We start from the raw sequence: 22,592 nt of genomic DNA on the forward strand, positions 1-22,592 counted from the left end.
TCACCCCGGCCGCGCGCCCACTCACGCCCCCCCAGCAGCGCGCACGCGCGCCCGCCGCCCAGTCGCGCTCGCCCTCCAGTCTCCCCACCCACCCCCAGCCCAAGCCCAGCTTCCCGAAGCGCGCGCCCACCTGGCCCCCAGCGCACGGCCCCCGCCCCCACCCCTCACCTCCTTGGTCCCGGGGCCGCCGCGCCGCACTCCTCCTCCTCTCTCCTGCCTCGCGGATGGTGGCAGCGGCGGCAGCGGCGACTCAGACCCTGGGGTCAGGGGGACGGGCGCCCAGGCCGGAAGTGACCTTCCCGGCCGCTTCCGCCCGCGCCGCTCCCCCCCTTCTCCCTACTCCCTGCCCCCCGGGCCGCCACCCTGTCCTCGCCGCTCTAGGAAGGCGAGCCCGCTATCCCGGCCACCGCCCCCAGCTCTGTGGTGCCCGGCGGGCGCCTGAGGGAGCCACTTCCGGAAGTGTCTAGGACGCAGGTCCTCCGTCCATGCTCTATGGCGCCCCGCGCCGAGGGGCTTCGGCCCCGCCCCCTTCCCGGACAGGAGGTGCGGGCTGGGCCCGTTAGGCGGAGACTTCCGGGTGTCTAGGGCGGTGCCCCCCCGACAACCCGGGCTCCTCGCGCCTGCGCGGCCGGGTCCCCGGGCCCGCCGTGAGGAGAGTGAAGTGGTGGAGAGGGACGCTCGTGCCACCCCGGGTCCTCCTACCGTCTCTATCATGGTAACCCCTTCTCTGCCGCTGCACCTCCCAGTGGCCCGAGTCCAGGTGCCTTAGTTACTGGACAGAGACCCCGGGTTCCTTAGTTACTGGACAGAGAGTGCTGCGCTTCAGGTGCCATGGCCTCAGTTTCCTCCTTTCTGAAGTGATGAAAATACATTGTGCGCCTCCAAGTGCTTCACACGCACTAGGTCCTAGTCCTAACTAGGGCCTCATGGTAGGTCCTATCCCTATGTTGCAGGTGAGGAGTCAAATCACCTACCAAAAGTCACACACCCGGAATGCCAGAGCCTCGGCCCGAACCCATGGAGTTTGGCTCTAAATTCGTGTATTTAACCCTTGACTGTACACACTGCCTCGTGTCATAGCCCTGAGAATCCACTACTTCCCCCGCGTTAGGTAGGCACCTAGTAAGGACGCACTGGGTGTTAGCTGTTACTGTTGGTATTCTTGCAAAAAACACATATTTTAAAATAATTGTCCAAACCATAGTGTCCTTGTAGGCTGGTCCTTCTGGTCCTTCCTCTGTTCTGTACTTGGCTGACTCTCACCTAAGTGGCAGATGACTTATCGCTTATAATTGTTATCATCCTCACTGGTAGTCAGAAAAGATAAGAAGCTATAATTCACTGGTGGAATAACACCTTTCTCAGCCTCAATTTCTCATCTGTGGAATGGGAAAAAATAAGATAACCTGCAAGGTAATATGTGTAAGAGCTGCTTAGTTCAATACCTGGCCCATAGTAAGTTCACAAAAATGATGGTGGTTATTATTACCTATTAGCAGTGTTACATATAAGTCTATTGTTGTGGCCACTGTATACCCTCAAAGCTCAGTGAGCATCAATCATAAGATGTATATTATTGATTTAATAACATCTTTCCATGGGGTGGGGTGAACAGTGCTGTGTTAACTGTGTGTGTCAATAGGAGGATATCTGTGTCCCTCCTTCAGAAATATCACAAAGGTAAATTTTTAAATATATCTTAGAACAGAAGGAAGTGTGGCCGGGTGCAGTGGCTGACACCTGTAAATCTCAACACTTTGGGAGGCAGAGGCAGACGTCAGGAGGTCAGGAATTCGAGACTACCCTGGCCAACATAGTGAAACCCCATATCTATTAAAAATACAAAAATTAGCTGGGCGTGGTGGCGGACACCTGTAATCCCAGCTACTCGGGAGGCTGAGGCAGGAGAATGGCTTGAACCTGGGAGGCAGAGGTTGCAGTGAGCTGAGATCGCACCACTGCACTCTTGCCTGGGCGATGGAATGGGACTCCGTCTCAAAAAAAAAAAAAAAAAAAAGAGAGTGAAGTGCTATCATAACAGCAATAGAAACAAATTATTAGGGTACAAACTCTACACGAGGAAACCTGTTTATAAGAAAAGTCATGTGCTTGTGCTCCTCTGAATCAGATCATTCAGTGGGTGTCCTGCAGTGACCTGGTTGTTGGGAGGGACAGCCTCCTCCCTCTCCAGCCCATTCCCCTTCTTCGCTGGTCAAATTGACAACGGCAAGATCGAGAACAGCTCATTGGCACACCAGATGGAAGCCAACACTGAGGATGGAGGAGAAACAAGACACAGGGAGCCAGCTAGACACTGGATGGCTTCGTGAAAGAGGCTCCGTGCCAGCTGAGATTTTATGTGAGAGAAATCACTTTCTAACTCACTGAAACCATTGGTAATTCTGAGTCTCTCCCTTAAGGCAACCCAACCAATACCAGGATGTTTCCCAAACATGGGATGGGTTGCAGCCGACATGGCTTAATTGACAATTAACATCTGTTCTTCCCTTCCGCAGTACAAAATCACTCTTGGGATGCTGCTTCCCATCGATGGATTCTGTTTTCCACTCCTCTTGGCATCTAAGTGTGGCCTTGTGATTGGTTCTCACCAATGGGATGGGATGGAAGCGATACAGGCCTCTTCCGAGCCAATGCTCTTAAGAAACATGTATGTTGGCCAGGCACGGTGGCTCACGCCTATAATCACAGCACTTTGGGAGGCCGAGACGGGAGGATCAGCTGAGTCCAGGAGTTCGAGACCAGCCTGGCCAACATGGCGAAACTCCATCTCTACTAAAAGTACAAAAATTAGCCAGGCGTGGTGGGCGCTTATAATCCCAGCTACTCCGGAGGCTGAGGCAGGAGAATTGCTTGAACCTAGGAGGCAAAGGTTGCAGTGAGCCGAGATCCCACCACTGCACTTCAGTATGGGCAAAAGAGTGAGACTCCATCTCAAAAAAAAAAAAGAAACATCTGCCTGCTTCCTGCTCTTTCAAGGCCCTAAAGAAAGAGGGGAGCCCCAAGAAACCTGGGTCCCTGAATGACCACCTTGTGGAAATACATCCTGTCACCTAACATCTATCCTAGATTGCTACATGATCAAGAAATACACATCTAACTTGTACACCCAATGCTCATAGCAGCATTATTCACAATAGCCAAGAGGTGGAAGCAACCCAGTGTCCATTGACAGATGAGCGAATAAACAAAATGTGGCACATAAATGCAATGGAATAGACCAGACGCGGTGGCTCACATCTGTAATCCCAGCACTTTGGGAGGCCAAGGCGGGCGAATCACCTGAGGTCAAGAGTTTGAAACCAGCCTGGCCAACATAGTGAAACCCTGTCTCTACTAAAAATACAAAAAATTAGCCAGGCGTGGTGGCGGGCGCCTGTAGTCCCAGCTACTTGGGAGGCTGAGGCAGGAGAATCACTTGAACCCAGAGGCGCAGGCTGCATTGAGCCAAGATCATGCCACTGCACTGCAGCCTGGTAAACAGAGCCAGACTCCGTCTCAAAAAATAAAAATAAATAAATAAATACAATGGAATATTTTTTAGCCTTAAAAAGAGAGAAAATTCTGACACAGGCTACAACATGGATGAACCTTGAGGACATTATGCTAAGAGAAGCAAGCCAGTCACACAAGAACACATACTTTATGATTCCACTTATATGAGGGACCTAGAGAAGTCAAATTCATAGAGACAGGAAGTAGAATGGGGGGTGCCAGGGGCTGGGGGGAGGGGAATGGGGTGTTAGTGTTTATTGGAGACAGAGTTTCGGTTTTGCAAGATGAAAAGAGTTCTGGAAATGGATGGGGGTGATGGGTGCACAAGACGTCAATAGGTTTAACACTACTGAACTGCACAGTTACAAATAGTTAAGACGTAGCCAGGCGAGGTAGCTCATGCCTGTAATCCCTGCACTTTGGGAGGCCAAGGCCTCCTGGCTGAGGTCAGTAGGTCAAGACCAGTCTGGCCAACATGGTGAAACCCTGTTTCTACTAAAAATACAAAAATTAGCCGGGCGTGGTGGTGCATGCCTGTAATCCCAGCTACTCGGGAGGCTGAGGCAGGAGAATCGCTTGAACTCGGAACGCAGAGTTTGCAGTGAGCCGAGATCAGGCCACTGCACTCCAGCCTGGGCAACAAGAGTGAAACTCCGTCCCTCCCAGACACACACAAAAATAGTTAAGACGTTAAATTTTATGTTATATATAGCTACAATTTGAAATGTGTTTAGAGGAAAAAGTACCCTTCTAACGTGATGTGCCATTACAATGTGTGCGTTTCTTTATTACAGCAGCTTCACCCTTCCCTAATACAGAGTTTTCAGATGCCAGGCAGTAAAAATGGTAAAGCTCCCTTTCAGGGGTGCATCAGCATCTAGATGGAATTTACAGCCTCGAGTCTGAATAAAATTGGGGTTAGGGGGCAATGGTGAGTACGGAGAGAATTGCAAATGGCTATAACAGCATCATTTCACCCAAGTTGGCCCATCAGTGGCTTTCTCTGGATCCTTCTCTTTGGAGAGTCCCTCTCTGGCATAGATGCCGGGATGTGAGAGGCTGGAAAGCTCAAGGCAGTCTTGCTTCCCACCGTGTGGAGGAAGCCAGTCTGCAGGAGGAGAAAATGAAGCCTCACAGAGAGGTGAGAGTTGGAGGGAGACAATGTCCCAGCTGAGTTGAGTGCCTAGGCCATAGGTTCAGGTGCTTCTACTCTGCCTAACCTTCCTGAGGGCTGGACGTTCCACTCTTCCTTCCCTTGAGTGAATGAGTCTAGACTTCTTCCAGGAAAGCCCTGTTTTGGGTTCCTGCCACTTGTAACCAAAAGAGCCCCAAGTCTCCCCCCAGCACTCTGGGCATCGCAAGCCTCCATCTACGTGGAATGAGTGGTGGACGACCGGAATAGCCACACATCTCTGTAGTGATATGGAAGGTCAGAGGTCCCCAGTGCAGAGGCACGGGCGGCAGCTCCTGCTGGGGAGCCCTTTATAACCTCCTCACGGTTTTCTCCTGAGGGTGTGGCCCTAGGCCGAGTGACAGGAACAGCTGCAGCTGGCAGATTGGAGAGGGAGAGTTTGCAGCTGTTGAAGTACAATTGCTTCGAAGTCCTTGATACACAGAGAAACGCACACAATCACACTTTTCAAATGATCCTCCTTACAGTGATAATTAACAAACACTTCTTGAGTTTTCATCATGTACCGGACACACTCCTGGGTGCTTTGCTTAGGTGAACATGCTCAATCTTCATCTCTACTCCCAGACACAGTTAGGCCCCGGCAGGCAGCATTGACAGCACCCACAGACCCATGAGAAATGTAGAATCCCAGGCCCTACTCCAAACCTACAGAGTCAGAATCTGCATTTTAACCCAATCCTCAAGGGATTCTTAGCCATGGGAAAGTCTGAGAAGTATTGATGCCAGGCAGACTCCAGGATGCCCAGTTAAATGTGAACTCCAAATCAAAGATGAGTAATTTTTTAGTGTAAAAATTTCCCAATACCGTCTGGGCACGGTGGCTTATTCCCGTAATCCCAGCACTTTGGGAGTCCGAGGTGGGCAGATCACCTGAGGTCAGGAGTTCGAGACTAGCCTGGCCAACACAGTGAAACCCTGTCTCTCCTAAAAATACAAAAATTAGCTACGTGTGATGGCCCAGGCCTGTAATCCCAGCTACTCGGGAGGCTGAGGCAGGAGAATTGCTTGAACCCAGGAGGAGGAGGTTGCAATGAGCCGAGATCTGCACTCCAGCCTGGGATACAGAGCAAGTCTCTGTCTCAAAAAAATAATTAAAAAAAAAAAAGTCCCAGTACTTATCCAATCTATATATATAGGATGTATATATACATCCGTTGTTTATTTGAAATAAATGCAACTGAACATTGCATTTTAAATGCATCCTGCATTTTAATTTGCTAAATATGGCAAACCTATGTGGAGAACCCTGTGGCCGCCTCCTATAACGTTCTTCACCCATCTTCCTAGATTTGCACATCTCCTCCGTGTGCCAGCTGCTGCAGCTGGGGCGCAGAGGGAGGGGCTTTGAGGAAGCAGAGCGACCCTGCCTCAGACCAACCATTCCGGCCTGTGCCCCATGCACACCGATGGGACAGAGACGGGCTGAGTGGGGCTCTGGGGAATTCTGGATGGCAGGATGTGGGACGTGATGATTGCAGCGGTGGCACGTTTCAGGTTGCATGAGACAAATGCAGCTCAAACGGATTGGAGGTTAAAAAAAGAGAAAGAAAACTTTATTGGCTTGGGTAACTGAAAAGAAACAGCAGCAATAAACACCAGAAGCTGAAGCTGGACACCTTGGGGCGTGGTTGGTTGGATCCGGGAGCACAGGGGCCCCAGGCCTGGCCCGCTGTCTGGGCTTCGCGGACCTCTTTGGTTTCCATCCCTCCACTGTGGGGAATAAAGGCCACTGCAAGGCCAAGGCCACCCTCACTTCCTCACCCTGCTATTATTTCCCTGAATCTGATTGGCTCACCTGAACCAATCACAGGGGCCGGGCAGGGGTGGGAGTTCTGATTGGCCAGTCCAGAGTCACATGTCCACTCCTGGAGCAGGGCGGAACCAGCTCTCATAAAGCACGTGGAAGGAGAGGACGGAAGGGGTGCTCTATTCTCCCTTCAGGACAGACTGGGTACAGTGACTGCAGACAAGGGTGGGTGCCCAGAGCCAAAATAAGAGGTCTGGAGGAAGGGTCCAGGTAGCCACAGGCATTCCCTCATGCTGTGTTCACCACTGTCCAGAGAATAAGATAACCCAAATTTCTCCAGCTTCAATTACCATATCGCATTTAACCCTCACATGAATCTCATAGGGTAGGTGCTGGAAATGGAAGATAGACACATATGTAAATGTGTGTACATGCTTCCAAGAGGATATACGAATGCATAAATATGCATTTCTTCTCTAAGAATGAAATGTTGGCTGGGCGTGGTGGCTCACATCTGTAATCCCAGCACTTTGGGAGGCCAAGGCAGGAGGATCACTTGAGGCCATGAGTTGGAGACCAGCCTAGGCAACATAGCAAGACTCCATCTCTACAAAAAAAAATTAGGTGTGGTGGCGCAAGCCTGAGGTCCCAGCTATTCAGGAGGCTGAGACAGGAGGATTGCTTGAGCCCAGGAGGTTGAGGCTGCAGTGAGCCATGGTGGTGCCACTGCACTCCAGCCTTGGTGACAGAGCAAGACCCTGTTTCAAAAATAATAATGATAATAATCATCAAATGTTTATCTCACTGAAATGCATTTCCAAATACATTTATTAAAGAATAAATCCTCAACTTAAATGGAATTGTCCATCCATTGCACTTTGTCCTGTAAAACTTTTTTTTTTTTTTTGAGACCGAGTTTTACTCTTTCCCCCAGGTTGGAGGGCAGTGGTGTGATCTCCGCTCACCGCAACGTCCCCCTCCCAGTTTCAAGTGATTCTCCCGCCTCAGCCCCCCGAGTAGCTGGGATTACAGGAGTCCGCCACCACACCCAGCTAATTTTTGTATTTTTAGTAGAGACTGGGTTTCAACATGTTGGCCAGGCTGGCCTCGAACTCCTGACCTCATGATCCACCTGCCTCAGCCTCCCAAAGTGCTGGGATTACAGGTGTGAGCCACTGCACTCAGCCTGTCCTCTAAAACTCGTGATGCCAAGGCGAAAAACATTGACCAATCCAAACACCCAAAGACCTCCTTAACTATAAAGCTTATTTTCATTTAATGAGAAAAATATATTATGACCCTTTAGGCATCAGTTCATTTCAAGCGAATCCTTCTGTGGTAAAGACAAAATGAGATGAAAAATTAACGAGAGCTCTTAAATAAATCGTAAAACCTGTTAAACTTTCTCTCCAGGTGGTGGGTTGTTCCCAGTGCTATAAAAGTTCAGTATAAATTCCAAGCGGTTTTGAGGAACACTTCCACCTGGTTTCTTCTTGTTGCTACAGGAGTTTATTTATCCGGGACAGTTTTTCCTGACATTATTGCACACAGTAAAATGTCTGAGGCTGCTGGTTATTTTATTTTATTTTATTTTATTTTATTTTATTTTATTTTATTTTATTTTATTTTATTTTTCGAGATGGAGTCTCGCTCTGTCACCCAGGCTGGAGTGCAGTGGCGCGTTCTCGGCTCACTGCAAGCTCCGCCTCCCGGGTTCACACCATTCTCCTGCCTCAGCCTCCTGAGTAGCTGGGACTGCAGGCGCCCGCCACCACGTCCGGCTAATTTTTTGTATTTTTAGTAGAGATGGGGTTTCACCGTGTTAGCCAGGATGGTCTCGATCTCCTGACCTCGTGATCCGCCCGCCTCGGCCTCCCAAAGTGCTGGGATTACAGGCGTGAGCCACTGTGCCTGGCCGAGGTTGCTGGTTAGAGCTCACAGACCCCTGCCTATCCAAAGGGGCTGCTTGGAGAAGTGGCACCAGTCTTCGTGAAGGTCAGACAGCCTGGGCCATAATTCTCAGCCCCGTCTCCTGAAGGCTGTGCAGTGTGGTGAGGAGAGAGAGACAGGCTTTGGACCCCTCCGATCCTCTGTGGAATGGCCAGAAATAGCACAGGAGGTCCTCAATGTCCCAGAGTAACTGGCACTGGGAAAAGAGCACTTAATACAGCAGCCCGTATTTTATATTTATGCAAGACAGTTATTTCCATGTTTGTTTGGGATTCTCGACAAATGAAACAACAACAAAAAAACACATCATTTTAAGAAAATACAGGCTGAGCCGGGTGCAGTGGCTCATGCCTGTAATCCCAGCACTTTGGGAAGCCAAGGTGGGTGGATCACGAGGTCAGGAGTTCAAGACTAGCCTGGCCAAGATGGTGAAACCCCATCTCTACTAAAAATACAAAAAAATTAGCCGGGTGTGGTGGCGAGCACCTGTTATCCCAGCTACTCGGGAGGCTGGCGCAGAGAATTGCTTGAACCCAGGAGGTGGAGGTTGCAGTGAGCTGAGACTGCGCCACTGCACTCCAGCCTGGGCAACAGAGTGAGACTCCATCTCAAAAAACAAAACAAAACAAAAAACAAAATGAAACAAAAAAAAAAACAGAAAACAATGTATCAACAAAGATATGTTTAAATAAAAACATACGTAAAATAAGGCTTGTGTTGACAAACATGTGGCCAGAGGCTCACAGGAAGCCAACGCAGTGTTTCCCTAGGAGCGTTGATTCAGTGTTCCCTGATGAGATGTTCATGGTGGCTTGACAGAATTACCAGGAATGCTGAGAATCGACTCCTGGTTGATTTTGTTGTATATTTAACAAAATGTAAGCAACAACTGCAGTGATGAATGTATGCCCCGATTCTTAGAAAAATCAAAACATGAATGAGGTGCGGATTTGTACAGTTTCCCCGATGTGACTTTCACAGCACAGTTATAAAGAGGGGACATTTGCACTTTGTGGGTCTCACCAGTGGATGTTTTTACTGCTGTGATAACTTCATTCCTGGCAGCAATCAGATGATGACTTTTTGTTTTTTGTTTTTGTTTTTGTTTTTGTTTTGAGATGGAGTCCCGCTCTGTCGCCCAGGCTGGAATGCAGTGGTGCGATCTTGGCTCACTGCAACCTCCGCCTCCAGTGTTCAAGCAATTCTCCTGCCTCAGCCTCCTGAGTAGCTGGGATTACACGTGTGCACCACCACACCTGGCTAATTTTTGTATTTTTAGTGGAGACGGGGTTTCACCATGTTGGCCAGGCTGGCCTCGAACTCCTGACCTCAGGTGATCTGCCTGCCTTGGCCTCCCAAAGTGCTGGGATTACAGGCATGGGCCATCACGCCTGGCCGGAAGATGACTCTTTGGATAATGTACCCTATATTGTCTGACCCTGTTAGGGCAAACACCTCACAGGTGTGGCCAGTGCTAAATGAGATGCATGAAGCCGCTAAACCCAGTGCTCAGACACATAAGAAGTGCTCACAACCGTGAGTAGTTATTACCATTATGGCGATTGTCTAAAGTGGAATGGAGAAGTGTCTCAGTCTGGGTTCGAGAGAGGAAACAGGTAAATAGACCCCACGCCAGGTATTTTATCTACCAAAGGGTTTAATGTAGGGAATTAAATGTTCACAAAATTATTGAATGGGCTGAGCCTCCTGCGATAACTCAGAGAACCACACGGAACTGTCCCAGCAAGGAGCCACCGCCTTTGAGGACTCATCTGTAGCTCTGAGTTCCAGAACATATCCCCAGAGCTGTGATCCAGGGGCCAAAAGCTGCCACCTGAGGTCCGGGAAGTCAGAGAATGGCCCTGACTGCCTGCCGTGGAGACACCTCATATTCCACTGTTATACTTGCCAGGAGGAACAGTGCAAGAGGGGCAAGAGAAGCGGGGGAATGAAAATGGGCCCTGCTGGCAGCCAAGTCATGATGTTCCAAGCAAGCAAGAATAGGGTTGTGGGCTGGGCGTGGTGGCTCACGCCTGTAATCCCAGCACTTTGGGAGGCCGAGGCGGGTGGATCACAAGGTCAGGAGTTCAAGACCAGCCTGGCCAACATGGTGAAACCCCGTCTCTAATAAAATACAAAAATTAGCCAGGCGTGGTGGCGGGCGCCTGTAATCCCAGCTACTCAGGAGGCTGAGGCAGGAGAATCGCTTGAGCCTGGGAGGTGGAGGTTGCAGTGAGCCAAGATGGGGCCATTGCACTCCAGCCTGAGTGACAGAGCGAGACTCGTTCTCAAAAAAAAAAAAAATTGTGTTCTGTACAAAGAGTCACACCACAACAGCAAAAAATTCAACACCTTCCTTCCTCTGACAACATCACATTCTTTACTGCTACTTCCTTACCATTGAAAACGCAACCCTGCGCTATCTTCCTGCCTTCAGGGCAAAAATTAAAGAGAAGAGCTGGGCATGGTCGCTCACGCCTGTAATCCCAGCCACTTGGGAGGCTGAAGCAGGAGGATCACTTGAGGCCAGGAGTTCAAGATCAGCTTGGGCAACATAACAAGACCCTATCTCTGTAATTAGAAAAAAAATTGAAGCCGGGTGCGGTGGCTCACACCTGTAATCCCAGCACTTATGGGAGGCCAAGGCGGGTGGATCACAAGAGGCCAGGAGTTCGAGACTAGCTTGGCCAACATTGCGAAATCCTGTCTCTACTAAACATACAAAAATTAGCTGGGCATGGTGGCCTGTGTCTATAATTCCAGCTACTCAGGAGGCTGAGGCATGAGAATCCCTTGTACCTGAGAGGCTGAGGTTGCAGTGAGCCAAGATCGCGCCACTGCACTCCAGCCTGGGCGACAGAGCAAGACTGTCTCAAAAAAAAAAAAAAAAAAATTATGGAGGAATCCAATCAGTGCATTGCCCGGCTTCTTAAGCCTTCATTAGAACTGCTCTCCACTTCCCCCAACCCCCGGCAGAGCCCTCTAGCACAAGCCCTAACGCTCTGAAAGGCCTCTTCTGACTCTTTGTACAGGGATCCCCTGGAATGCGTCCTCCCTTGCTGAACCAAGATAAATAAACCTCACTGCCAGTGGTTCTTTTGGCCCTTGATCGGCTTTCCGCATCTTACTCGAGTGCACTTAATTAGCAAAGCCCAGTTCAGCCCAGAACTCTAGCTCTCCAGAGGTCTGGGAAATGCAGCTTCAATCTCCAACCGGAGAGATTTCTCTCCAGAGAGTAAAGGGCTGGAAGTGGGGGCGAGACGGAAGCCACAGTATCAACCTCTGAGAAGCCGCGTTCATTCCTGCCAGACATTGCGAGATACAGTTGGGAAGAATTTCCAAGGAATTCTTCTCTGCCTTGGCAGTGAGGGTAAGGTGAGCTTGACTCGCTCCTCCTGTAGGCCCTGCTCACTCTCTGAACATCTAAGGAAGAGGATATATCTGGCCGGTGGAAAACCTGCTGCCGGAGCTGGGTGGACACCTCAGAATGCCCTTCTTTTTTTTCTTTTTCTTTCTTTCTTTCTTTCTTTTTTTTTTTTTTTTTTTTGAGACAGAGTCTCACACTGTTGCCCAGGCTGGAGTGCAGTGGTGCGATCTTGGCTCACTGCAACCTCCACCTCTTAGGTTCAAGCAATTCTTCTGCCTCAGCCTCCCAAGTAGCTGGGATTACAGGCATGGGCCACCATGCCCGGCTTATTTTTGTATTTTTAGTAGAGATGTGGTTTCACCATGTTGGCCAGACTGGTCTCAAACTCCTGACCTCAGGTGATCCACCCACCTCGGCCTCCCAAAGTGTTGGGATTACAGGCGCACACCACCATGCCCGGCTAATTTTTGTATTTTTAGTAGAGACTTGGTTTCACCATGTTGGCTAGACTGGTCTCAAACTCCTGACCTCAGGTGATCCACCCACCTCAGCCTCCCAAAGTGCTGGGATCACAGGCATGAGCCACCGCACCTGGCTAGAATGCCCTTCTTGAGCCTCAGTTTCCTCATCTGTGAGAGAGACTCAGGACACCTGCTGCTGGCCTTAAAACCCGGGTCTCTTGCTGTGTCACCTGGGAAAGTACACCTGCTCCACTGAGCCTCGATTATCCCAACCGTAAAATGGGGTGATTCTCAGGCCGGGCGCGATGGCTCACGCCTGTAATCCCAGCACTTCGGGAGGCCGAGATGGGTGGATCACAAGGTCAGGAGATCAAGACCATCCTGGCTAACATGGTGAAACCCCGTCTCTACTAAAAATACAAAAAAATTAGCCGGGCGTGGTGGCGGGCACCTGTAGTCCCAGCTACTCGGGAGGCTGAGGCAGGAGAATGGCGTGAACCCGGAAGGCGGAGCTTGCAGTGAGCCAAGATCGCGCCACTGCACTCCAGCCTGGGCGACAGAGCAAGACTCCATCTCAAAAAAAAAAAAAAATGGGGTGATTCCTGATGAGCTCTGCTGCCTCGCCGGGGGAGCATGAGGGGGAAGTCAGATAATGGGCAATGTGATCCATCATTAAGCAATTCGTTCATTAATTTCATTATCCTTTCTCAAACGTTTCCTGTTGCCTGGGAAGCCAAAGATGACTCAGGTTCAGATCCAGCCCCCTGGGAGCCTGCACTGCTAGACACAGACTGACATCCATACGCCATCCCCCCTTCTGCTGGTTCTTCCCCTTTCTGCTGGTTCTCCCCCTCACACGCTCACTCAGCTCACTCATGCGTCCATCATCCACTCACCCATAAACCCAACCCGAGCCTCCAGAGATGAACCAAACCCCATCCCTGCCCTGGGGGATCTTAGTGCTTCAAAGCACCATACAAAGAGAAAAACCTTAATTATTATTTGGGGTAATAATTATAGCAGAGCTACAAAGGAGCCGAGAAGCTAGAAGGTATGAGCTAAATTTGCTGTCAAAGGAATTCTCGCCCTCAGGCCTGGGAAGCAGGGTAAGAACCACTTGCCTTCACTCTTATTTACTCATTCACAGGCAGGCCCCAAGCCAGGAGCTGGGTACAGCAGGCAAGGAGGGTTGGTCTCTGTTGCTGAGTCGCTCAGCATGAGGTGGGCGGAGCAGTCACCCAAAAATAGTATATGAAATGGAGAAAGAGGGGGCTCTGCGGAAGCTCCAGTGAGGCACTTGGTCCAGACTTACAGGTGTGGGGGTGGTCTGGGAAGGCTTCCTGGAGGAGGGGACGTCTGATCACAGAGTATTATATGATGTTACCAGATGAAGAAGTGGAGGAAGGACATTTCCAGGAAGTCGTTCCTTCATTTCATTCCTCACCAAGATTTATGGCCCACTTACCATACATTAGGACCTGTCCTAAACGCTGGTGTGCCAACATTGCACAGATCGTCAAGGTGATATTTATGTAAACAGGACCCAGGACAAAATTAAAATGCAGAGCCCTGTGTTTAAAAAAAAAAAAAGTATTAAGAATTTCAAGCTGGGTGTGGTAGCTGTAATCCCAGCTACTCAGGAGGCTGACGCAGGAGGATCTCGTGAGGCCAGGAGTTTGTGAGACCTTATTTCTTTAAAAAAAAAAAATGTCAGGCCGGGCACGGTGCCTCATGCCTGTAATCCCAGCACTTTGGGAGGCCGAGGTGGGTGGATCACGAGGTCAGGAGATCGAGACCATCCTGGCTAACACGGTGAAACCCCGTCTCTACTAAAAATACAAAAAATCAGCCAGGCATGGTGGCAGGCGCCTGTAGTCCCAGCTACTGGGGAGGCTGAGGCAGGAGAATGGCATGAACCCAGGAGGTGGAGCTTGCTGTGAGCCGAGATCGCGCCACTGCACTCCAGCCTGGGTGACAGGGCGAGACTCTGTCTCAAAAAAAAGAAAAAAATGTCAAGATAGCCACAGCTGGGCATTCAACCAAGTGCAGGGCAGCCTGCAACCACACAGGTTGCATCCCATGAAGCTGGCCCCGGATATGTGTGACTTGCTGTCACTTTTGGCTTCAACAACAGACAACTTGACTCAAAATGGCTTGAGGGGACTTACTACTTCATGCCAAGAGAAGCCTGGAGGTAGGGCAGGTCCAGCCACGGTTGGTTAAAATTCAGCTGCCAAACCATGCCATGAAGGATCCAGGTTCCTCCGTCTCACCTCCCTTCCATCCTAAGTGAGGAGCTCCCACTACCAGCCCTCATGGTACCCAGGTGGCTGCCACAGCTTGAAGTGTCACCTGCAGACAGGGCAGGGCTCCAGGGCAACTGTTTCTTCCTGCTTATCAGTTGCTTAAGAGTTGGGAAAACCTTTCCCAGCAGTGCCCCAGCAAATCTGCCTTCAGGTTTCATTAGCCAGAATAGTGTCACATATGTGAGCGTCAACCAATTGCTGGCAAGGAGAAGGGGCACAGCAAAATTGGCTTACACCAATAAGGACCTGCTCCTGGTCAGGCAGGGTGGCTCACACTGGTAATCCCAGCACTTCGGGAGGCTGAGGTGGGTGGGCCTCACTTGAGATCAGAAGATCGACCAGCCTGGCCAACATGGTGAAACCCCGTCTCTACTAAAAATACAAAAAATATTAGCCGGGTGTGGTGGTGCGTGCCTGTAATCCCAGCCACTTGGGAGGCTGAGGCAGGAGAATCGCTTCAACCCAGGAGACAGAGGTTGCAGTGAGCCAAGATCTCACCACTGCACTCCAGCCTGGGTGACAGAGCGAGATTCCGTCTCAAAAAAAAAAAAAAAAAAAAGCTAAAAAAAAAGGACCCGCTCCTTATTGGGCCCTTGGGCCCTTATTAACCACGCTCACCCCCAATCCCAACTCTCTGAGTGTGTTATGACCTCCATTCAAGTGAAGACGCCGATGAGCTGAGATCCCCAGGCTCTCTCGGCTGGGGCATGTTGGGTGGGTTTGGAGCCCTGCCCTCACCCACTGTGCTAGGCCCTCAACTCTGGCTGGACACTGATTCTGTGTACTCTGTCCACCCTCGGATCCTTTGTGCCCATACAACATTTCATCTGTCTCATTATAGGTGTCCAGTTTGTATGAAGTGAACAAATGCTGAGCAGACAATAGCCAGTAGTGAAACAAGCTGTTTTTGTTGCACGGATGTGGGGAGGGAGGGAAGAGTCAACTTTGCATTTGAGCTGGGCTTGCTTTTATCAGCGACTCCACTGGAGTTAAGTAAGAATAGCAAGTGTTTATTGAACTCGTACTCCCTGCCAGGTAGCCTTCCGAGTGCTTTGCGTGTATTAACTCATGAATCCTCCCAAGCACCCTGTGAAGCGGCGACTATTCTAGAGTGCAGGTAGAAGGTACCGATGCATAGGAGTGCGCCTTTGCATCCCCTGGAGGCCTTGTTGAAGTAAATCGCTGGGCCCCCTGCTAGAGTTGCTGATTCAGTCTGAGGCAGAGACCGAGAATCTGCATTTCTTTTTTTCTTTTTTTAGACGGAGTTTCACTCTTGTTGCCCAGGCTGGAGTGCAATGGCACGATCTTGGCTCACCGCAACCTCTGCCTCCCGGTTCAAGTGATTCTCCCGCCTCAGCCTCCTTAGTAGCTGGGATTACAGGGATGCACCACTACACCCAGCTAATTTTTTTGTATTTTTAGTGGAGATGGGGTTTCTCCATGTTGGTCAGGCTGGTCTCAAGCTCCCGACCTCAGGTAATCCACCTGCCTCGGCCTCCCAAAGTGCTGGGATTACAGGCGTGAGCCACTGTGCCCAGCCGAGAATCTGCATTTCTAACAAGCTCCCAGGTGATGTTGTGCAGCTGGTCTGGGGACTACACTTTGAGAACTGCTGTGTTAGAGGAACTTAAAAGAGTGACCCATGAGGCCTGGCGCGGTGGCTCACGCCTGTCATCCCAGCACTTTGGGAGGCCGAGGCGGGCGGATTACCTGAGGTCAGGAGTTTGAGACCAGCCTGGCCAACATGGCAAAACCCCGTCTCTATTAAAAATACAAAAATTAACTGGTGTGGTGGTGGGTGCCTGTTGTCCCAACTATTCAGGAGTCTGAGGTGGAAGAATCGCTTAAGCCTGGGAGAAGGGGGTTGCAATGAGCCAAGATCAAGCTACTACACTCCAGCCTGGGTGACAGAGCGAGACTCAGCCTCAAAAAAGAAAAAGAAAAAGAAAAAAAAAGTGGCCAATGAGTTGAAACATAGTGATGAAGAAGGAAACGGTGTTGGATCGAGAGCCTGTGTGAACCCTGTATATGACATGCAGGCACCTGGCCAACCAGGAAGAGGTGGCTGGAATATTCCTCCGGATCTGCCTGCCAAGCTGTGTGCCCCGGCTCAGTTCTGCAGTGCTTCTGAGGGCCATGCTTTTCTAACACACACAAAGGCACTCTATAAGCTAAAGGAGCTCTGGGTCTGAAGGCACATCATGTGGGACTGTGCAGGCTAGCGACAAGGGTTTGCAATGGAGGGTTTTAAGCAAAAGTGACATGACCCTATTTAAGTTTAAATAAGATCCCTCTGGGACCAGTTTCGGTGGCTCACGCCTGTAATCCCAGCACTTTGGGAGGCCGAGGCGGGTGGATGACCTGAGGTCAGGAGTTTGTGACCAGCCTGGCCAACATGGTGAAACCCCGTCTCTATTAAAATTACAAAAAAATTAGCTGGGTGTGGTGGCGGGCGCCTGTAATCCCAGCTACTTAGGAGGCTGAGGTAGGAGAATCGCTTGAACCCTCGAGGTGGAGGTTGCAGTGAGCTGAGATGGAACCATTGCACTCCAGCCTGGGTGACGAGAAGGAAAACTCCATCTTAAAAAACAAAATTCCTCTGATAAATGGGTAAACAAAATATGGTCTGTGTATGCAACAGAATATTAGGCAATCTTTAAAAGGAAGGAGATTTTGACATACACTACAACATGGATTAACCTTGAGGACATTCTGCCAAGTTAAATAAGTCAGTCACAAAAAACAAATACGGTATGATTCCACTTACATGAAGTATTAATGTGGTCAAAATCACAGAAACTGGGCTGGGCATGGTGGCTCACACCTGTAATCCCAACACTTTGGGAGGCTGAGGCAGGTGGATCACTTGAGACCAGGAGTTTAAACCCAGCCTGGGTAACATGGCAAAACGCTGTCCCTACAAAAAAAAGAAAAAAAAAAATTAGCTGGGCGTGGTTGTGTGCACCTGTAGTCTCAGCTACTCGGGAGGCCAATGTGGGAGAATCCCTTGAGCCTGGGAAGCAGAAGTCACAGTGAGCCAAGACTGAGCCACTGGACTCCAGTCTGGCCAACAGATTCAGACCCTGTCTCAAATAAATAAATTACAGAAACTGATAACAGAATGGTGGTTGGCCAGGAGCTCGGGGGAGAGAGGAATGGGTGGTTCACATTTAATGGGTACAATTTCAATTTGGGAAGATGAAAAATTCGGGAAATGGACAGTAGTGATGATTGCACAGCTTGAATGTACTTTTTTTTTTTTTTTTTTTTTTGAGACAGAGTCTGACTCTGTTGCCCGGACTGAAGTGCAGCGGTGCAATCTTAGCTCACTGCAACCTCCACCTTCCAGGTTCAAGAGATTCTCTGGCCTCACCCTCCCGAGTAGCTGGGATTACAGGTGCCCGCCACCATGCCCAGCTAATTTTTGTATTTTTAGTAGAGACGGGGTTTCACCATGTTGGCCAGGGTGGTCTCGAACTCCTAACTTCTGATCCGCACGCCTCGGTCTCCCAAAGTGCTGGGATTACAGGCGTGAGCCACCACACCCGGCCTAGCTTGAATGTACTTAATGCTACTGAACTGTACCTTAAAAATGATTAAGATGGTAATTTTTATCTTGTATATATTTTACCACAATTAAAAAAAAAAGATCCCTTTGGCGCTGTGTGGAGCAGGAACTGAGGGGCAGGAGGCAGAAGAGGCGAGAGTGGAAGCATGACAGTGTCTAAAGAGGCCATGGGGACTTAAACCAGGTGGTAGCCATAGACGGGAGAGCTGTGGACAGATTCTGCATCTATTTTGAAGACAGAGCCAATAGGACCTGATGATAGATTGCATGTGGATGGTGATGAAAAAGAGGAATTGGCTGGGCATGGTGGTTCACGCTTGCAATCACAGCATTTTGGGAGGCCGAGGAGGCAGATCACTTGAGGCCAGGAGTTCGAGACCAGCCTGGCCAACATGGCAAACCCCATCTCTATTAAAAATACAAAAATTAGCTGGGCATGGTGGTGCACGCCTGTAGTCCTGGCTACTCAGGAGGATGCAGCATGAGAATCACTTGAGACTGGGAGTCGGAGGTTGCAGTGAGCTGTGATCGCACCACTGCACTCCAGCCTGGGCAACACAGCCAGACCCTGTATCAAAAAACAAAACAAAACAAAACAAAAAACCAAAAAAAAAAAAAGAAAAAAGAATCAAGGGCTGCTTTTCTATTTTTGGCCTCAACATTTGGGTGAAGATGGACTTGCTTTCTAAGATGGTGGAGTAATGGGAAGGAACAAATTTCTTCGCAAGGTGGGGGAGAGAGTGAAAAATTATCTACTGCCCACCTTAGGTTTGAGATGCCTATTAAGAAATCCAAGAGGAGATGTCAAGTAGGCCATCGGATATGAGTGGGAAGAAGATCAGCGTGCTCTAGGAGCAGAAAGGAGGCATGACTGGAACTCATTAAACACGAGGAGAAGACAGTGGTAGACAGGTGGGCCAGGGCAGATTAGGCCACCGTGGGCAAACTGGTCACAAAGTTCTGAGTCAGCCACTCATCGCTTGTGAAACCTGGGGAAAGTTGTTCATTTATGAATATAAGACGAACAACTTCCATGTAATGAATGCTTGTTATGGGTAAGCCACTGTCTTCGTTTTTATGGCGCGGAGTCTTCAGATCAGCCGGGGAGGTGGAGGATGGGAGGGGGATTCTCTTATCCTTGTTGTACGGAGGAGGAAATACGCTGCGGGCTGGGGTAGGGCTTGTATGAGCCATAATCAGGTCTGGAACTGTCTAGATAAAAACTTCAGCTGATCTCTTAGGATGTCTGTCTGCTCTAAAATCCAAATATGCTTCTTCACAGTTCTGAGATGCAGAAACTGAGGCCTCAGGACGGGGCAGTAGTCTGTCCAATAGGGGCACAGCGAGGACGCGTGGCAGGTAGCGCTGTCCCCCAATTCACCCCAGGGGAAACTGAGGCTAAAGAGAGGGCGGTGTCCTGTCCAGGTTCACACACAGGAAGAGCCAAACCGAGGCCCCCGCGCTGGCCCCCTCCTGAGCCACTGCCCACCCCGGAACAGGAGGGCAGCCTGCTCACGTCCTGATTCCTGGCACCGACATCGGCCCTTAAGTTCTGCCCGGGTGGAGAGGGAGGACAAAAAAAAATGCGATCCGTAGTCAAGGAGACGTAGCCTGCACTCCTGATTGGCGCAGAACTCTAGCCTGGTCTCCTCCTCCTCCTCCTCTTCGCTTGCCAGCTTCTAGAGCTCCGGAGGCCCCACCTCCCAAATGCCCGGCGGTGCCCGGCCTCCCCTGATCTCCACAACAACGCCGCCATGGCTCCTCCTCCTCCTCCCTCTTTTTTTCCCGGCACTTCTGCGCATGTCCAGGGCCCGCGCGCAGACCACTGGGAAGCCTCCTCGTGCATTCTGGGAAATGTAGTCCAAAGCCTGTCGCGCTCAGACAGCCCGCGACATTTGCGCCGTCAAGGCCAAATAGGCTGCAGACGACGCTTTCGCGTATCTTGGGAAATGTAGTTCCAGTGTTGGCGAAGACGCCACGCGGTGACAAACAGGAGTAAGGCGGTCCCCAGGCGAGGGCCAATTGGCAGCCGCCTTTGCCGCGATGCTTCCTGGGAGTTGTAGTTCGGGGTGAGGCCGGGGCTTCATGGGGAGTTGTTGGGCTGAACGAGCGGCTCGGAGTATGGGATTGGGGGAGGGGGACGGGGGAGTTTGGCGCAAAGCCTGCTGGGGCATGGAGTCCCGGCGAGCTTTGTGCGCATGTGCGGGGAGGTGAGGGGGCTTGGGGGGCCTCGCCTGAGAGAGTGAGGTGAGCGAGGGGGGAAGGAGGGAGGGATTGGGTGGGGGCGGTTGGACGAGGGAGGGACCAGAGGTTGGATGGGAAGAGGGGCGCCGGGGGCCTCAGGAGGGAAAGATGGGAGACTTGCGGGGAGGGGAGGAGAAGGGGGCTGAGTGATGGGGAAGGGGCTGGGAGAGGGAACTAGAGGGGGAGGGACTTGGAGAGGGGGAGGGGTGGATAGTGGGAGGGGGTCGTGGATCCTCGAGGTCCTGAACGCGGGAGAGAAATGCTGAGGGAGAGGACGGGGGAGGGGCGCCTGGGGGAGGGGGAGGGGCGGGACGGGGGAGGGACAGGTGGGGGAGGGGAAGGGGACCCTAGCAGAGGGTGGGCTGTGAGATGAAAGCTGAGTGGGAAGCTGGACCCTACAAAGGAGTCTGGGGGCGCCGGGACCGGACCCCTTCGGAAAGGTTTGCGGGAAGGGGCTTCCGGGGACGATGGTTATTGTTGTAACGTAGATACGGCGCAGGTGGCTCGTTTTGCGCGCTGCTTCTACAAGTGCAACTTTTACAGAGTTGTGAGATTCCTGAAGATAAGAATCGTTGCTCTGTTTTGCTGCTTTCTCAGTGCGGAGCATCTGCCTTTTTAGCTTGTTGCAAGGCATTATTACCTTCGGTAATATGTGTAAAGTGCTTAGAAACTCTGTTTATTGTCAAATGAAGTTGACCCCCGCCACCTCTACCCCAGTCAGGATGGAGTCACCCTCCTCTATATCCGATTTTAACGCCTATTCCAATGTATACTTAGTATTTTAATCTGCGTGCGTGTTCATAGCAGTGTCCCCTGGGCACCTCGCAGGGAAACTTCGACAAAGTAACCCTAAGTCTGACTGGACACTTACTAGCCAGGTGTGGTTCTCAGCATTTTTGTTCTCCTTCTATCACTTTACAGTCAACGAAATGGAGATACAGGGTATTACAAAAGGTGCCTTGTACCTCGTCCAAGGACACAGAGCTGGTAGGAGGCAGAGCTGGAATTTGCCCCAGAGCCTTTGTGCCGTAGGTAAATATTTGTCCAGTGGGCCAGCGGCTCTCAACCAGGAGTGGTTTTGTCCCCCAGGGGACATGTGGCAATGTCTGGAGACTTTTTTTTTGGTTTTTCCAACTTGGGAAGTGCTACTGGCATCTCATGAAAAGAGGCAGAGATGCTGGTAGACATCGTATGTTGCACAGGATAGCCCGCCACGACACAAGTGCCATTAATGTCGAGGTTGGGAACCTAGAGTAGACAAACCGGTCTTTGTCGAGCACTTAGCCTTTGGAGGCTGCTTCTAACTCCTGCTCCCAGCAGCCTCTTGAGAGGAAGGAGCTCTTGTTAGTCCTGTGTCTCAGGTGGAGAAATGAAGCACAGAGGGGGTAAGTCACACGTCCACAGTCACACTGCTGATGAGTGGCAGAGCTGGAAGTTGAAGCCAGGCAGCCAGACTCCACAGCCTCTTAGCCATGATATTAACCCAGCATATGTGGGTGCTGGTGCCGGGGTACTAGGTGGAACTGGTGTGGACTCTGGAGTCACATCTGGGTCCCATTTGTGGCTCCTTCACTCTCTGAGCATCTCCCTATGGTAAGAGGGGACCCATCTCCCCAGCTCACAGGTCTGTTGGGAAGGTTGGGTGGGGCAGTATAAGACACTAGCCACTCAGTGGCTGTCTTCAAGGCATCCAGGGTGCCTGGCTCTGGACTGGACTGTGCTTTGCGGACACAGACAGCTAGACAGCAGGGTTACAGCTGTTGAATGCACATAGCACAGGGCGCTCATTGGATGGTAGGGTGGATTGACATGGTGGAAGGCCCTTACTTAACAGCATGTGCTTTCTTGGGAGCAGGCCTTGTGCTGGATGGCCCCACCGACCCAGTGAAGAGCTGGACTTGGTCACTGCCCCAGAGAGCTCACTTTCTGGACAGCCCAGGGTGTAGTGACCTGTGATCACCTCTGAGATTGCAAACAGGGTCAGCTTGATGGCCTGTGGCATTGCTCTCTGGCGGAAATTCCTCCTTAGTCCCAGAGGGATCTTTTTTATAGCAGAGCAGGCATCTGTGTGGCTTTTGAGACTTGGATCTGGCCTGGGTCTTCCGATAAGTCTTTCTGCCTGCTCCCAGGTTCATCAGCCCTTAAACTGATGGATGGGTGGGGTGGGAGGTGATGCTGTGGCCTGGCTGTGGATGTGCAAGTCCAGGCTCTGCCACGTGTTAGCTGAGTGACTTTAGGTAA

At 50.8% G+C, this 22,592-nt stretch overlaps 2 protein-coding genes and 1 long non-coding RNA gene across 18 annotated transcripts in view, besides 13 other annotated features; 2 read left to right on the forward strand and 1 right to left on the reverse strand.

The window, feature by feature from the left end:
- Nucleotides 1-292, reverse strand: part of ZNF787 (zinc finger protein 787) — a 33,930-nt gene extending 33,638 nt beyond the window's left edge. For both annotated transcript variants that reach the window (NM_001002836.4, NM_001351682.2), the window contains exon 1: nucleotides 169-292. The gene's annotated coding sequence lies outside the window, so the exon portion shown is untranslated. The remainder of the gene's footprint in view (nucleotides 1-168) is intronic.
- Nucleotides 59-774: an enhancer, noted in NCBI's record as "NANOG-H3K27ac-H3K4me1 hESC enhancer chr19:56632431-56633146 (GRCh37/hg19 assembly coordinates)". NCBI's record gives its function as "activates a minimal SCP1, AML or CMV promoter by ChIP-STARR-seq in naive H9 embryonic stem cells {active_cell/tissue: H9 hESC(naive)}" and the evidence as "EXISTENCE:reporter gene assay evidence [ECO:0000049][PMID:30033119]".
- Nucleotides 59-788: a biological region, named in NCBI's record as "NANOG-H3K27ac-H3K4me1 hESC enhancer GRCh37_chr19:56632431-56633146".
- Nucleotides 119-198: a silencer, noted in NCBI's record as "silent region_11066". NCBI's record gives its function as "represses an Ori minimal core promoter by ATAC-STARR-seq in GM12878 lymphoblastoid cells {active_cell/tissue: GM12878}" and the evidence as "EXISTENCE:reporter gene assay evidence [ECO:0000049][PMID:35858748]".
- Nucleotides 209-328: a silencer, noted in NCBI's record as "silent region_11067". NCBI's record gives its function as "represses an Ori minimal core promoter by ATAC-STARR-seq in GM12878 lymphoblastoid cells {active_cell/tissue: GM12878}" and the evidence as "EXISTENCE:reporter gene assay evidence [ECO:0000049][PMID:35858748]".
- Nucleotides 419-788: a silencer, noted in NCBI's record as "silent region_11068". NCBI's record gives its function as "represses an Ori minimal core promoter by ATAC-STARR-seq in GM12878 lymphoblastoid cells {active_cell/tissue: GM12878}" and the evidence as "EXISTENCE:reporter gene assay evidence [ECO:0000049][PMID:35858748]".
- On the forward strand, nucleotides 607-3,542 carry LOC124904772 (uncharacterized). The gene is made up of 2 exons (XR_007067348.1): nucleotides 607-929; nucleotides 2,517-3,542. It is a non-coding gene; the product is annotated as an uncharacterized LOC124904772 (long non-coding RNA).
- Nucleotides 6,388-6,557: an enhancer, noted in NCBI's record as "experimental_51865 CRE fragment used in MPRA reporter constructs". NCBI's record gives its function as "activates a minimal promoter by MPRAs in K562 erythroleukemia cells, with activity observed for both the introgressed and non-introgressed 19:56638845 variant alleles {active_cell/tissue: K562}" and the evidence as "EXISTENCE:reporter gene assay evidence [ECO:0000049][PMID:34662402]".
- Nucleotides 7,791-7,960: an enhancer, noted in NCBI's record as "experimental_51876 CRE fragment used in MPRA reporter constructs". NCBI's record gives its function as "activates a minimal promoter by MPRAs in K562 erythroleukemia cells, with activity observed for both the introgressed and non-introgressed 19:56640248 variant alleles {active_cell/tissue: K562}" and the evidence as "EXISTENCE:reporter gene assay evidence [ECO:0000049][PMID:34662402]".
- Nucleotides 7,791-8,328: a biological region, named in NCBI's record as "H3K4me1 hESC enhancer GRCh37_chr19:56640200-56640700".
- Nucleotides 7,828-8,328: an enhancer, noted in NCBI's record as "H3K4me1 hESC enhancer chr19:56640200-56640700 (GRCh37/hg19 assembly coordinates)". NCBI's record gives its function as "activates a minimal SCP1, AML or CMV promoter by ChIP-STARR-seq in primed H9 embryonic stem cells {active_cell/tissue: H9 hESC(primed)}" and the evidence as "EXISTENCE:reporter gene assay evidence [ECO:0000049][PMID:30033119]".
- Nucleotides 8,329-8,829: an enhancer, noted in NCBI's record as "H3K4me1 hESC enhancer chr19:56640701-56641201 (GRCh37/hg19 assembly coordinates)". NCBI's record gives its function as "activates a minimal SCP1, AML or CMV promoter by ChIP-STARR-seq in primed H9 embryonic stem cells {active_cell/tissue: H9 hESC(primed)}" and the evidence as "EXISTENCE:reporter gene assay evidence [ECO:0000049][PMID:30033119]".
- Nucleotides 11,353-11,522: an enhancer, noted in NCBI's record as "experimental_51899 CRE fragment used in MPRA reporter constructs". NCBI's record gives its function as "activates a minimal promoter by MPRAs in K562 erythroleukemia cells, with activity observed for both the introgressed and non-introgressed 19:56643810 variant alleles {active_cell/tissue: K562}" and the evidence as "EXISTENCE:reporter gene assay evidence [ECO:0000049][PMID:34662402]".
- Nucleotides 11,550-22,592, forward strand: part of ZNF444 (zinc finger protein 444) — a 28,341-nt gene continuing 17,298 nt past the window's right edge. For 2 of the 15 annotated variants that reach the window (XM_024451573.2, XM_047439041.1), the window contains exons 1-2: nucleotides 20,695-20,791; nucleotides 21,273-21,383. The gene's annotated coding sequence lies outside the window, so the exon portion shown is untranslated. Of the gene's footprint in view, nucleotides 11,776-19,946; nucleotides 20,177-20,283; nucleotides 20,355-20,694; nucleotides 21,230-21,272; nucleotides 22,589-22,592 lie in introns of those variants that run through there. The other 13 variants (XM_005259035.2, XM_047439042.1, NM_018337.4 and 10 more) reach the window with 9 other exon arrangements.
- Nucleotides 19,747-20,076: an enhancer, noted in NCBI's record as "active region_15114". NCBI's record gives its function as "activates an Ori minimal core promoter by ATAC-STARR-seq in GM12878 lymphoblastoid cells {active_cell/tissue: GM12878}" and the evidence as "EXISTENCE:reporter gene assay evidence [ECO:0000049][PMID:35858748]".
- Nucleotides 20,107-20,246: an enhancer, noted in NCBI's record as "active region_15115". NCBI's record gives its function as "activates an Ori minimal core promoter by ATAC-STARR-seq in GM12878 lymphoblastoid cells {active_cell/tissue: GM12878}" and the evidence as "EXISTENCE:reporter gene assay evidence [ECO:0000049][PMID:35858748]".

The sequence above is a fragment of the Homo sapiens genome, chromosome 19 (genome assembly GCF_000001405.40).
Source record: "Homo sapiens chromosome 19, GRCh38.p14 Primary Assembly".
Lineage (NCBI taxonomy): Eukaryota > Metazoa > Chordata > Mammalia > Primates > Hominidae > Homo > Homo sapiens.